Source organism: Homo sapiens, chromosome 20 (genome assembly GCF_000001405.40).
Source record: "Homo sapiens chromosome 20, GRCh38.p14 Primary Assembly".
NCBI lineage: Eukaryota > Metazoa > Chordata > Mammalia > Primates > Hominidae > Homo > Homo sapiens.
This window is the reverse complement of record NC_000020.11, coordinates 63,925,237-63,939,828: the sequence shown is the minus strand read 5'-3', so window position 1 is coordinate 63,939,828 and position 14,592 is coordinate 63,925,237. Positions and strand designations below refer to the sequence as shown.

At 54.9% G+C, this 14,592-nt stretch overlaps 1 protein-coding gene across 7 annotated transcripts in view, besides 1 other annotated feature; it reads right to left on the bottom strand.

Annotated features, from left to right (window-relative positions):
• DNAJC5 (DnaJ heat shock protein family (Hsp40) member C5) overlaps positions 3,818 to 14,592 on the bottom strand; it is a 40,886-nt gene continuing 30,111 nt past the window's right edge. For 3 of the 7 annotated variants that reach the window (XM_047440509.1, NM_025219.3, XM_047440511.1), the window contains exons 2-5: positions 11,377 to 11,494; positions 10,304 to 10,517; positions 8,807 to 8,978; positions 3,818 to 8,364 (exon numbers count right to left, since the gene is read on the bottom strand). In XM_047440509.1, the coding sequence (XP_047296465.1) occupies positions 8,261 to 8,364; positions 8,807 to 8,978; positions 10,304 to 10,517; positions 11,377 to 11,483 (597 nt within the window). In that variant the 5' untranslated portion in view covers positions 11,484 to 11,494 and the 3' untranslated portion in view covers positions 3,818 to 8,260. Of the gene's footprint in view, positions 8,365 to 8,806; positions 8,979 to 10,303; positions 10,518 to 11,376; positions 11,495 to 12,506; positions 12,528 to 12,841; positions 13,658 to 14,592 lie in introns of those variants that run through there. The other 4 variants (XM_047440508.1, XM_047440510.1, XM_011529048.3 and 1 more) reach the window with 4 other exon arrangements.
• Positions 7,092 to 7,593: an enhancer, noted in NCBI's record as "H3K4me1 hESC enhancer chr20:62563589-62564090 (GRCh37/hg19 assembly coordinates)". NCBI's record gives its function as "activates a minimal SCP1, AML or CMV promoter by ChIP-STARR-seq in primed H9 embryonic stem cells {active_cell/tissue: H9 hESC(primed)}" and the evidence as "EXISTENCE:reporter gene assay evidence [ECO:0000049][PMID:30033119]".

The window sequence follows — 14,592 nt, the reverse complement described above, 5'->3', positions numbered from 1 at the left end:
GGTGTGATTGGTTACAGCACAGGAGAGGTGTCCTGGCTGAGGCATGCATTTGTGGAGACTCCCATGGGGAGGGAGGGAGGGAGCTGAGGGCCCTGCCTTCTCCCCTGCAGGACCAAGCATTCCCAGTCTTGCACTTGTGCCAGATGAAGGAAGGGGTAGAACTGGGCCCTGCAGCTCCTAGCTCTGCTAGATGGGGCCCCTAGAACCCATAGCTTGGTGGCCACCTGGCCTGGACCTAGGGAGGGGACAGGGCCCCCTGGTGCTCTGGGTCTCACAAGAGGCAGGCTGTTTTGCCCCCACCCACAAATTTGTACCATCAGGGTCCTCCCCACAGTTGGGGGGGGGGAGGGTCCTTCCCGTCAGGACAAGTCGCTGGAGGCAGCAAAGCCAGGAGGCAGACCAGGGCGGAAGTGGGGGCCTGCGCTTGGAGGCGGGGCCACCCGGGGCCCACGAGCCCGGAGCCACTGCTGCTCAGGGCCCGCCTCGCTCACCCCTCCAGACCTGGAGGCCCACCCGCATCCCGTGCTCTCTGCCGTGCCCACGCCCGCAAGCGTGGGTTCCCTTAGGTCCTGCCCACCCTGCTTTCCGAGCAGGCCCCCCCCGGGCTCCCCGAGAGGAGTCGCCGCCGTGGTTTACTGAGGAAGAGGAGGTGCACGCGCGGCGCCCACACGTCGGGCCCCGGAGAGGCCCAGATAACTGAATCAGCCTCCCGGGGCTCAGCCGTGGAGCTGAGGGCTGATGCTGGGGACTCAGCCGTGGGCCAGGCGCATCTGACACGGGACACGGTCGTCCCCGTCCTCTCAGGCGCCAGTGTCTTTCTGCGTGGAAGTCCACGGCCAAAAGCGTGGCGTCCTCGGAGCCTGGCACCTCGATTATGCCGGATCCCGGATCCTGGACAGGGGTCTGCTGACGAAGGGAGGGACGGCGTAAGGCCGGTCTTCCCAGATGCCGCGAGACCTTGCGCTGCAGTGGGGTCTCCCATTGCCCATGCGACCAGGCCGGGTGGGCGCTGGTCCCCACGTGGGGGGCCCATCTGCGGGTGCAGCGCTCCCGCCACTCGCCCGCCCCACCGGTCCCGATTGGCCACGCCCCTGCCCAGCCCCCGCTCCGCCTGGTAGGCCAGGTCCCGCTGGGCCCCACCGAGTGACCACGCCCCTGAGCCGGCCCCGCCCCCGCGCTGGCCCCGCCCCCCACCCGACCCTGAGCAGCGGGGCTGGCGCTAGAAGTGGTCCCTTCCTGGCGTTCCTCGGTCACGGAGAGCGGGGCGCAAGGAAGGCATAGCCGGGGGGAGCGGGGAGGGTGGTCCGACCCCGTCTTGGAGACGGAGGAGATTCCTGGGGCGCTGGGCGGACGGAGAGTTTTGCCGCAGCGCCTGTTAACCGCGGTCCCCTGGACCAGGAGAAACAGGGCCGACAACCCTCCCTGGCAAGGGTCTTGCTGCCCGCCACCCAGTGTCCAGTGCTCGGCTTGCTGTTAACATTTCTCTGTAAGAATCCCATATATAAAATACTTAACATAGGCCGGGCGCGCTGCCTCACACCTGTAATCCCAGCACTTTGGGAGGCCTACATAGGTTCGAGACCAGCCTGGCCAACATGGTGAAACCCCCGTCTCTACTAAAAATACAAAAAATTAGCTGGGCGTGGTGGCGCGCCTTTAGTCCCAGCTACTCGGGAGGCTGAGGTACAAGAATCGCTTGAACGCAGGAGGCGGAAGCTGCAGTGAACCGAGATCGCGCCATTGCACACCAGCCTGGATGACAGAGCAAGACTCTGTCTCAAAGGAAAAAGAAAAAAAAAACTGAACTTAATAAACGTGGATTCTACTTAATTAAGAAAATTCAAAGACCAAGCCAGAAAAAAACGTCTGACAACGCTAAGGCTAGAAGGGGCAGCGAGAAGATGGGGAGCCTCTTTGCAGGGCAGTGTGGGGCCACCAGTCAAGGGAAGGCTTCCAGATCCCGCTCCCAGCGATCCCACCCGAGACAACTCAGCAGCGACATTCAGGCAGCTTTGTTTCCACAGTGAGAAACTAAAAACCTGTGGTCAGTTTGCCCAGGACCGACTGTGATTAATTCGTGACTGTTCTGTACAGAAGCTAAAATGAACCAGACCTAATATAACCACACGGCTTGATTTCTTAACTACTACTGTATCAAATGAAAAACTTAGGCCTGGTGCAGTGGCTCACGCCTGTAATCCCAGCACCCTGGGAGGCCGAGGCGGGCGGATTACCTGAGGTCCGGAGTTCAAGATCAGGCTGGCCAACATGGTGAAACCCCGTCTACTAAATACAAAAAGTTAGCCAGGCGTGGTGGCACATGCCTGTAATCCCAGCTACTCAGGAGGCTGAGGCACAAGAATCACTTCAACCCAGGAGATGAAGGTTGTAGTGAGCCGAGATTGTGCCACTGCACTCCAGCCTGGGCCACAAAGACTCCGTCTCAAAAACAAAAACAGGCCGGGCGCGGTGGCTCATGCCTGTAATCCCAGCACTTTGGGAGGCCGAGGTGGGCAGATCACAAGGTCAGGAGATCCGAGACCATCCTGGCTAACACGGTGAAACCCCATCTCCACTAAAAATACAAAAAATTAGCCAGGCGTGGTGGCGGGCGCCTGTAGTCCCAGCTACTCGGGAGGGTGAGGCATGCGTTTTCCTAAATGGCGTGAACCCAGGAGGCGGAGGTTGCAGTGAGCCAAGATCGCGCCACTGCACTCCAGCCTGGGTGACAGAGCGAGACTCCATCTCAAAAAAAAAAAAAACAAACAAACTCATAAGGCAGGTGGTGTACTCAGTACTATGGTGTAGTACAATTTATGTAAAAAGGTATAAACCAATAGTACGTCTTACTGGACCTGACAGTGGTAGACAGAGTTTAAAGCTATGGAAGCAGAGGATGGAAATGGGGAGAGACGCAAAACGGTCTTGGATGCTGCCATTTTTTTAAAATGGAAAATCTGACTCAAATTTTTTTTTTTTTTTGAGACGGAGTCTCGCTCTCCCACCCAGGCTGGAGAGCGGTGGCACGATCTCGGTGCGTTGCAACCTCCACCTCCCGGGTTCTAGCGATTCTCCTGCCTAAGCCTCTTGAGTAGCTGGGACTACAGGCACGCACCACCACGCTCAGCTAATTTTTTTTGTATTTTCAGTAAAGACGGGGTTTCACCATGTTGGCCAGGATGGTCTCAGATCTCCTGACCTCATGATCCACCCACCTCGGCCTCCCAAAGTGCTGGGGATTACAAGCGTGAGCCACCATGCCTGGCCCTTCCTTCGTTTTTCTTAAGTCAGAATAGAGGATTTCAAGATGTTTGTTACGTTATTCTGAGTTTTTGTTAGTTTGTTGACAGGATCTCCCTCTGTCACCCAGGCTGGAGTTCGGTGGTGTGACCACAGCTCACTGTAGCGTGGACTTCCCATGCTCAAGTGATTTCCCTCCTGACGAGCTGGGACCTCAGGCACGGCTACACCCAGATAATTTTAAACTCTTTTTTGTAGAGACACGATCTCACTGTTGCCCAGGTTGGTCTTGAACTCCTGGGCTCAAAGCAATCCTCCCACACTGGCCTCCCAAAGTGCTGGGATTATAGGCATGAGCCACCACGCTTGGCCTCTTTGCTCCAGTCTTGGTATTTAGAAAACGGAGGTGAAAACACAATCAAGAGGAGGGGGCATTTATCCACATCTGGACCAGGCAGGAGGGAAGCAAGGTTCCAGCCGCAAGGGGTGTGGAGGGCTGAGATCAGCTGCTGCTCTCCAAAACCAGGGATCTGCGGGACTAGCGAGTAAGACATACGTGGGGTCCGCAGTGAAAACATTTATTTTACAACAGTAATCTTTATTTTAGGCCAACATTCAGACATACAAGACGGAGATCACCATGCGGAACCAGCCTGGCCCTTAGATGTGTGTGCTCGAGCCAGGATCAGCCGGAGTCTGACAGCGCCTGCACCCCAACACGGTCGGATTCCAGGACGCCAGTGACAAAACCAGTGCATGGACAAGCAGCTTCCATGCGTGTGCATTTGATTTTTAAAAACAATACATATTTCAGTGTTAACTTCCCCCCTCACCTGGCTTGAAACATTTTCCCCATTTTCCAGGGAAACAAACTCTACCAAAAGGTGCCGCCTGCAGGACCCCGGGCCCAGCCCCTTCTGGAGGTGGTGCTGTGTGGACTCCTCTGGGGCGGACCCGGGGCCAGCACAGGGCCCCTTCCCAGGCCGCCCTTCAGATGCAGCTTTGCCACTGACCGTATCTGCTGCTCAGAAAATCAGCTTTCATGTTTCAAGGCAGGGAAGGGCTTCCAGTCCCCTCCTCGATTTCACACCGGGACACACACCTGGGTCAGGTGAGCATGACACACAGCCCCCAGGATGGGCACCCCACCCTGCAGAGCAGAGGCCAATGCTGGTGGGGGCCGTGGCAGTGCCCTGGGCACACACCCTCTGCACACAGTGGGCTCAGCGCTTCCTTCTGTGCACCTGCTGGGAAAGCCTCCTGCAGGTCCCTGCCCGACTCCCAAGAAACCAGAGGCCATTTCAGAGCCACCTTTAATTGTACTTGTCACTTCACCAGGGGACAGCAGCATGAATGACACTCCTGCTGCGTGATATATACATATACACATATGTACACACACGGACACACCACAGCCCACACTCACAGCATGTGACGACGCAAACTGTTGCTGGTAAGGACAGTAAAAATGTAGCTTTTGCCAATTCCACAGGAGAATGATTTACAACCAAAATAACAGACACAGGCCAGTCCTGCGCCACAGGGGTTCACAGCTCTGAATACTGGGAAAGGGTGAGATCAGTCATTTCGTGTCCCCTCACGAGATGTCCCCACAGTAGGATGCACTGAGTCAGAGCTAAGGGAGGGTGGACAAGCGCTGAACTCTGCCCGCAGCACCCGGACCCTCCAGTGGCAGCCTGCATGCTGGTGCCCTTCCTTGCAGCACAAGCCTCGCCCGGAACAGAACGCCTGAGAGCAGCCTCGACGGCGTGAGGCTCCAGGGCCTCTTCTGGATGGCAGCAGCCGACGTGAAGACGAAGCTTTTCCTGCTGGGCACGTGTGCATGCCAGTTCCTTTTTCTAGTAGGTCCCCACTGGGTGCTGGCTGCACTAACAACATAGAGAACTAGGAAAGTTCACAAACACTGAGCAGTAATATCTAAAGCAGTTTAAAAATAAAGCCAAAAGGAAGACAAAAAAATCCCACGTCACTGAGTGGAGACAAATCTATACAGCAGCAGCTGCCGTGAAAGGGCCCGCAGGGCCGCTCCTACGCCTCCTGCAGGTCGGAAGCAGTCAGTGCTGCCCGGACCCCCTCGTGAACCGGACGGGCCTCAAAGCACGACCCCAGAGGGCCCCTGGCAGCCCCCAGCAGCGGCGTCCAAAGGGACATTCTGTGCCCATGGCCACACTTGCTCACAGCATTGTCTGCGGCCCGAGAGTGAGGAGTCGGGGTCCCGTCACTGCCACCAGCAAAAGCAGGCAGGGGTGCTGGGGGCGTCCTGATCTGTTAGCACGTGGACAGGGAGGCGCGGAAGCTGCCCCAGGACTCACCACCTCTTTTAATTATAGGGAAACAGTCCACTCAAGAAAGAGAGAAATAAAACCCGGGAGGATCTTTTTCCTTAAATTAAGACAAAGCCTTAAAGCCAACAGGGCAGAGCGCTGAAAACGGTTCTGCTTCTAGGTCAGGCAGGGGGAGGAACTCCAGGCCCCGAGTGTCTGGGCTTCCCGGGGGTCGTCTAATCACAATCACCACCGTGAGAATGGCCACAACCATGATTTATTAGGTTTTACAGATTCTGCAGGGGACTGGGTTCCACAAACCTCCAGACCTGCTCCTCTTTCCCACCCTACCCCACCTTCCGCAGGGAGCTGCATGGTTCTACAAAATGGTCCACTGGACTCTGTAACTGAAAAGCCACCTGGCAAGGGGCCCACTCTGATGGGTACCGAAGGGCCTTGGAGTGTTCTAGCCACAGAGCTGTGTGCAGGCCCAACAGAGGGCCTGGTGGGGCTGAGCTAGGGCCCCCGATGGGCAGCTTTCTACCTTAGGTCCAAGCTTAGAACCTGGCTCTTGGCCAGTCTGCGGAAAAATAACTCACGTCCTAAGCTACATCTACAAAAATTGCAAAGGCTGAGTACAGCCAGCATCTCAGGCTGAACTTGCTGCTGCACGAAGCGGCACGGAGGCACCCCACTGTCTCGCCACCTCACCTTTCAGGATGGGCCAAACAATGAATTTCTTATTCTTTTAGGAGAGGTCTGATTTTGATAAATTATTTCTAATTTAATATCACAGTGCATATCTCTCCTCTTGTCAAAGGTCTTCGTGATCATTTTAGTGAGAAGAAACAAAGAAAAGTGGGACAAACAAAGCTGCCCAGGACCTAGTGCTGGCAGCCGGCTCATGGTCCACATGCGGATCTGCAGTAGGGGTCAGCTGGGGGCCCTCAACCAGCACCCTGTTCCTAAGCACGTCCAGATGTATCCTCATATCCATGTCCCTTTTGGCAGCTTCCTGGTCAACCTGAACCTACCCTTCTGCACAGCCTCGGGTGGCTGCTGAGGGCAATGAGTGAGCTGGGGCCACGGGTCAGCAGGCAGGCAGGGAAGGGGGCTTCAGGAGGCTCATCTGGTTGGTCCGAGCCAGAGCCATCACACACAGCCTCCTCCTCAGCTTTATCTCTACAGGGACCTCTGCAACTCTGCAGCGGCCACCATGGACATTCTGCAGAAACCAGGCCCACTGGAGTCTGCAGCATGGCGCCAAAGGCAGGCCCAGCACATCCCATGAGCTACGGAGTGCGGGCAGCTCTGAGCCCTCAGCCAGCACAGGGACATCAGACCCGTTCCCCCTGCTCCCCTATGCAGGGCGCCACCCACAAGGTCTAGGACACGCAAGAGACTGACTTCCCATGGTCCACATGTGGATTCCGTAGTCTGGCTGCTGGCCTCCCAAGGGACCCACAATGGTCCACGTGTGGATTCCGTGGCCTGGCTGCCGGCCTCCCAGGGACCCACAATGGTCCACGTGTGGATTCTGTGGCCTGGCTGCCGGCCTCCCAGGGACCCAACCCTCCTGAGCCAGAGGGTCCCTCTGGTCCAGTCAGTCCTTCCTCCAGGGACCTAACGAATCTGGCTCTGCCTGAATCATCGATGACGGGGCAAAGGCGAGTGGGGCAGATGGGAGCTCTGGCAAACACAGGAGGAGGGGTCGTGGGAGAGCCCCCGTCCCCAGTAGCTGGGTGCTCACACATGCACAATCTACTCTCTGACTGTGGCTCATTGGGCTGGTCCTATCATCTGTGGTTCTAAAGGTCCAAAAAGGGCTATGGAAAGGACAGGTGTGCTGGAAGGAATGTGGAGAACGACCTCAAGATGGGAGGGGGGAGACTGGCCCCATCAATCCAGCTCAGAGCCCGGGAAAAGTGCAGGAACACAGACAAATAACCCCAACACGGCGAAGGACACACCTCCGAGAACCAGAACGGCAGCGTCCACACGACGAGACGACCAGGCGAGAAACACCGCGGAGGACACGGTGTCAACCTCGGAAGGGGCCTCCTATGCTTTCCACACCAAATTCTCCCACGGGAGAAACCCTGCCACAAGGCCCAGGAAACCACAGACCCCCAAGCCAACCATGCCCAGCACAGACACCAAGGAATGACAGTGACGCCGGTGACGCCAGGAGGACGCGGCCCCGCCTCTCTTCTGGCAGGTGAGATCAGAGTCCTACTGCAGCCTCAAGGCTGGGAGCACAGAGTGTGGACCAGACCCCGAGGCCAAGACGGTAACACAGCTCTGCCAGGCAGCACCTGCCTCCGGCCCCTCAAGCACAGGTAGGAAAGGGGCAGCCCCCCTTCTCCTCGCCCACCTGACCGGCTGCAGTCACCCCTCACTGGACCAACCTGACCGACAGCCCTGAGGCAGCTCCACCGTGCAGTTCACGCGGTCATGCCGCGGAATGTCCACAACACAGACATGGAACAGAACCCCATACATGCTATTAAAAAAGGGAAAAAAACAGAAGACCGTAGCTACACTGCTTTAAATACTGCATGCTACGCACTTCGTGGGTCAAGGGTCGACGCTGGGTGGGCGTGGAGGCAGGAGGGGCCCCAGCAAGGCCAGGGCAGGCAGGAGGCTGCCTTCCCATCTCTGTGACTACAGTTCATGATTCTAAGGTTGGCGTGGCCAGGCGCCGGCTCCTCCTCTGACCACAGCTCCTCCTGGATTTAGTTGAACCCGTCAGTGTGGTAGCTGGGGTGGGAGTCGGCTGTGAGCTGGGTGGTCTCGGTGGCGGATGCCGGCTGTATGACGATCGGCGTGTCTGTGGCCTCTGAAAAGCAAGCACACAGGGCACTGCACGAGGGCCACAGCCTGGCGCGCACCCAACGCTGGTCCTGTGGAGCGACTTTCGGGCACCTGGACAAACTCTCCACCGGGAGAGGCTACTCGCTGACCTCCACCCCACACGGCTTTCCTCCGTCGCCTTGGGTCACCGCCAGCCCTCGGCCCTCAGCCCCGCCCCAACTGCCTGCCGCCCTGCCCCGCCTCGCAGTCCCTGGGATCTACGGCTACCGCAGGTCACGGCGGGGACAGCTCTATGCGCCTGCTTTACCTCAGGGTCCACGTTCACACCTCAACAGTCCCAGCTGCCACCACAAACACTCGCGGCACAGTGTCAGTGCCCTCCTGTTTGACAAGACAGGTTGACACCATTCAGGGCCCATTCTGGCTCTGCCCCACACACACACACGGGCCCTGGGGCGGGCACTCACCCCTCTCGTCAGACTGCAGCTGTGCCTCCAGATCCTCGGGGGACACGTAGAACTCCGTCTCCTCGCCTTCAGGCGCCTTGGGCTTACACTTCCCGCAGCAGCAGTTGAAGCAGCAGCACAGACAGCAGCAGCAGTAGCAGCACGTGAGGAGGCCGCAGAAGACAAACAGGGCCTGGGGGGAGAAGAAGGTGGTGTTGCATGGCCTCCGAGGCCCCTGGAGAGGGAGGCGCAGGACTCCCAAATGCCCTCAGCAGAAGGCAGGGGGTGCGTTCCAGGTGGGGATACTGCCTTCCAGACAGGAAGCAGAAGGAAAGAACTGAAGAAGGGAGGAGGAGAGACAGAAAGAAACCCGCAGCTTAAAGAAAAGCAGCCTCCAAGACGGGCGTGGTGGCCCATGCCTGTCATCCCAGCACTCCAGGAGGCCGAGGCTGGCGGATCACGAGGTCAGGAGATCGAGACCATCCTGGCTAACACGGTGAAACCCTGTCTCTACTAAAAATACAAAAAATTAGCTGGACGTGGTGGCGGGCACCTGTAGTCCCAGCCACTCGGGAGGCAGAGGCAGGAGAATGGCGTGAACCCGGGAGGTGGAGCTTGCAGTGAGCCAAGATCGCGCCACTGCACTCCAGCCTGGGAAACAGAGCGAGACTCCGTCTCAAAAAAAAAACAAAGCAGCCTCCAGGCTGGGCACAGTGGTTCACGCCTCAACTCCTGCAGTTCTGGAGCTGAAGTGGGAGGATCACTTGAACCCAGGAATTCAAAGTTAAAGTGAGCCAGGATCTCACCACAGCACTCCAGTCTGGGCAACAGAGCGAGACTCTGTCTAACATTAACTAAATAAAAAGTACTTTATAAGGATTCTAGTGAGGAGGCCGACCAGTCAAAGCCAAATACAGGCTTCTCACAAATGCCATGCAGTGATTCCAACCCTCTGGCCTCATATATGACATTTGGAACAAAACGAGGAAACGAAGAAATGCGGATGTAACATCGAGGCTTATTTCCTCCTGTCTCACGAAGGACTGGGAGCCATTTACAGAAGAAACCCTGGCGGCTCCGCACGGCTCTTCCCTGGGACAATCTGTACGCTATGGCTTGTTCCAGGCAGGACACCAAGCCAGTGACAGAGCTTCGCCCATCACACAGGTGAGGAGAAAGGCTCCATATGCCCAGAAGCCTTTTCTCAGGAGTGTAGAGTTGCTGGCATCAACGCATGGGCTCTGCAATGCTGGGAACCCTGCAGGCGTGGAGTGACCCGGGTGCCCACATGGCAGGAGAGACTCGGGTGCCCGCACGGCAGGAGTGACTCGGGCGCCCGCACGGCAGGAGTGACTCGGGTGCCCGCACGGCAGGAGAGACTCGGGTGCCCGCACGGCAGGAGAGACTCGGGTGCCCGCACGGCAGGAGTGACTCGGGTGCCCGCACGGCAGGAGAGACTCGGGTGCCCGCACGGCAGGAGTGACTCGGGTGCCCGCACGGCAGGCAGCTCGCCCTCACCTTGGCCCACCAGCTGGACAGCACGAAGTAGGTGTTCACGTTCTCTTCCCCAAACTGCTCGGCCACGTAGAGACCCAGCGAGCCGTACTTGTCGTAGATGTTCCTTTTTGTGGCGTCCGTGAGGATGGCGTGCGCGTTGTTGATCTCCTTAAACTTGTCCGCGGCCTCCGGGTTGTCGGGGTTCTTGTCGGGGTGATATTTCAAGGCAAGCTTCCTGCAAACCAAAACCATGTCCTGGCTCTACCCTGGACTTTGTTCCACCCGCACCCGCCGCCGCGTCCATCCCACCCGCACGCACTGCCGGGTGCAGTGGAAGGCAGGTCCACCCAGGCCACCTCACTGTCCGACTCTCCAGGGCTGCAGGGGCCAGGGACAAAAGCAAGCTCCGCGGTTGTTTCAGGTAAACCTCCTCACCCTGACCCAGCCTCAGAGGAGGGAGCCCCAAGGGCTGTGAGTGCCACGGCACATCTAAGTTCAGCGGCACCAAGGCCAGCCCTGGTGTCCCAGCCGCTAACTGCACAAGTGCCAAGTGAACGGTAAGCACGGCGGGGCGTAATGATGGCACTTTAAGAAGTGTTTTATGAACTACACGATGCTAGCACACGAGAGGAGGACTATCTGAATTGTCTGGATTAGTGATGGTGTCTCTTACAGGTTACTCAATGAAACTGTACCCAAGAGTGCAGTTCTTCAAGCTCAATCAGAAGGCCACAACAGAGTGAGGGGTCTCTGTCATCACTGTGCTAAAACAAGGAGACCACAGGACCATGCCAGCGCTCTGCGGCTCCTGTGAGGCCTCAAACAGGTTCAGACCCTGACTCCCTATGGAACTGTGGACAGTGTGTCAGTTTCTACTAAGTGCTATTTTTTGTTGGCAAGAGAACATGAATACCATAACTTTAAGCTATAAGGAGCACATTACACATACAAAGGTGTTACCGAGCTGTGACCAGTTCAACGCTGAGTCGGCCAGGATAAAGTATGTGCAATGGTTCTTGGTAAAATGCAGACTAAACCACACGGGGCATGTGTGTCTTCCTGGGGGGATGTGGGGGCCACACTTGTCCACTTACCGATAGGACTTTTTAATGTCATCTGAGGTTGCGTTCTTGTCCAACCCAAGGACGTGGTACAATGACTCCCCAGAGGTAGACAGTGAGCGCTGTCTCTGGTCTGCCATGTTAGGCTATTCTAGAAGAAAAAATAAAAAGAAAGTATCACAAAGTATAGATGAAAGTACCAAGGGCAGAGCTGATGGACTTTATTCCATAAGACCGTTCAAAGCAAAAGAATCCAACACTGCCTTGTGGAGTTTGCCACGTGCACAGACAGACGCCATGGCATGGAGAAGTGTGAGACGGCAGAATACGGCCACCCCAAGAGATCCTGAAGAACTGCAGCTGTGTACTGTGGGCCGGCACAGGGGCTCACACCTGTAGTCCCAGCATTTTGGGAGGCTGAGGCGGGAGGACCGCTTGAGCCCAGGAGTTTGAGGCTGCAGTGAGCTATGATCACTCCACTGCACTGGAGCCCAGGAGACAGGGACCCTGTTCCTTAAAAACAAATATATAAATAAACAAAATAAATTAATTAATTAAAATAAACATGCATATTGTAATCCTTACAGCAACCTCTGCATAAAAAATGCAAAGAGGTATAAGCTAAAAAGTTACAAGAAAAATGAAAAAGTAACTCAACACAGGAAACAAATAGAAAATTAGTTGGAAGATCTAAATCCAAACATATCAACAATTAAATTCAATGTTAGTGGACAAAAAACTCCAATTAAAGTAAGGGACTGACAGAATGGATAAAAATGCAAGACCCAACTTTAATTTTAATACTTTCTCAGAAATCGACAGAACAGACCAAAAATCAGGAAAAACATCGATGTTCTGAACAACACTATCAACCACCATGACCTGATCTTCACAGAACACCCAACATCTAGAGAACACACAGTTTCTTTCTTTCTTTTTTGGGGGGGGGGACAGTTTTGCTCTTGTTGCCCAGGCTGGAGTGCAATGGCACGATCTCGGCTCACCACAACCTCCGCCTCCCCGGTTCAAGCAATGCTCCTGCCTCAGCCTCACACAGGAGTAGCTGGGATTACAGGCATGTGCCACCACACCCAGCTAATTTTGGTATTTTTAGTAGAGATGGGGTTTCTCCATGTTGGCCAGGCTGGTCTTGAATTCCCGACCTCAGGCTGAACTCCCGACCTCAGGTGATCCGCCTGCCTCAGCCTCCCACAGTGCTGGGGTTATAGGTGTGAGCCACAGCGCCTGGCAAATACACATTGTTTCTACATTGTTTCTAACTAATCAACCACCATGACGTGACAGTCACAGAACACCCAACATCTAGAGAACACACATTGTTTTTAACTGAATGCTGTACACTAAGACAAGCCACATGTTAGGGCTTCAAGCTGGTTTCAATAAACGTAATGGAATGAGGTCACACACAGCACTATCCCTGACTTAGCTACAAACTGGAAACCCAGGAGGAAGATACTCTTGATATTCAACAACACACCTCCGGCTAACATGTAGCTCAAAGAAGAAATCCCAGGGGAACTTAGAAAATGTTTTGAATTGAATAATAAATACAGTGTACATGACGGTTAATTTCATGTCTCCTTTGCTGCATCGTGGGGCACCCAGATGAAACATGACTTCAGGGTGTGCCTGGGAGGGTGTTTCTTGGTAAGAGCAGCACCTGAGCTGGGGGCTCCATGAAGCCAACTGCGCTGCCCTGTGCAGGTGAGTGTCGTCCCAGTCCACGGGGGTCCCGAATAGAAAGGGGTGGGAGGAGGAGTTGGCCTGGGTTTTCCTTCTCGCCTGCCAGCCTGAGCGGGGCCACGTGTCTCCTCCTGTCCTTGGACTGTTATTATCCCACTGCTTTCCTCAATCTTCAGCAAATGGCAGAGCATGAGATTCCGTCTCCATAATGACGTGGGCCAATTCCTCATAACAAATCTCCTTTAGAAAGAGACACAGATAATGGCAACGTTCCTCTGCAGAATGCTGACTAGTACAACACGTTAATCAAGGCCTAAGGCTCCGCCTCAGGAAGCTACAAAGTAACAGGATAAACCCAACATAAATGCAAGCAAGGAAATCATAAGGAACAGAAATCCATGAAAACAAACAGATAACTTCAACAAAGCCAAAAGAGTTGGTTCTTTGAGCAACATGAGGAAAGACATCACTACAGATCCTAGAGGCGTGAAAAGGATAAAATACGAACAACTTCATGCCAAGAAATTAGAAAAATTAGATGAAATGGACAAATATCTTGAAAATTACAATTTACCAAGACTGACATGAAATAGAAAATCTGAATAGGCCTGCATCTGTTAATAAAGTTATATTTGTAATAAAAAATCCCCAGAAGGCCAGGCGCCGTGGCTCACGCCTGTAATCCCAGCACTTTGGGAGGCCAAGGCGGGCAGATCACGAGATCAGGAGATTGAGACCATCCTGGCTAACACAGTGAAACCCCATCTCTAATAAAAATACAAAAAAATTAGCCGGAAGTGGTGGCAGGCACCTGTAGTCCCAGCTACTCGGGAGGCTGAGGCAGGAGAATGACGTTAACCCGGAAGGCGGAGCTTGCAGTGAGCAGAGATCGCACCACTGCACTCCAGCCTGGGCGACACAGCGAGACTCCGTCTCAAAAAAAAAAAAAAAAAAAACCAGATAAAATTCCAGGCCCAGATTTTTTTTTTAACCAAATATTTAGGAAATGACATCAATATGGGGTTTTGAGATAGTCTCGCTTTGTTGCCCAGGCTGGAGTGCGGTGACGCGATCTCGGTGATACTGGCAGGAGGCAGCTGAATGCCAGGCAGATGGGGCGGGTTCCCGGTGAAACCCACCTCCAAGCCAAAGACAGTTTAAAGCCTGACAGCTGAGCTACAAGTTAAATCCTCAGACTAGATGAAGAACTTGCCTTCCTGTTTGCCACACTTTCCTCTGATTGATCCCCATCCTTCACCTATTTTACACATACCTACCCTTTCCTAATTTTTATTTTTGAGGTGGAGTCTCGCTCTGTTTGCCCAGGCTGGAGTGCAGTGGTGTGACCTCAGTTCACTGCAATCTCTGCCTCCCGGGTTCAAGCGATTCTTCTGCTTCAGCCTCCCAAGTCACTGGGACTACAGGCACGCGAACCACGCCCAGGTAATTTTTGTATTTTTAGTAGAGATGGGGTTTCACCACATTGACCAGGATGGTCTTGAACTCCTGACCTTGTGATCCGTCTGCCTCAGCCTCCTAAAGTGC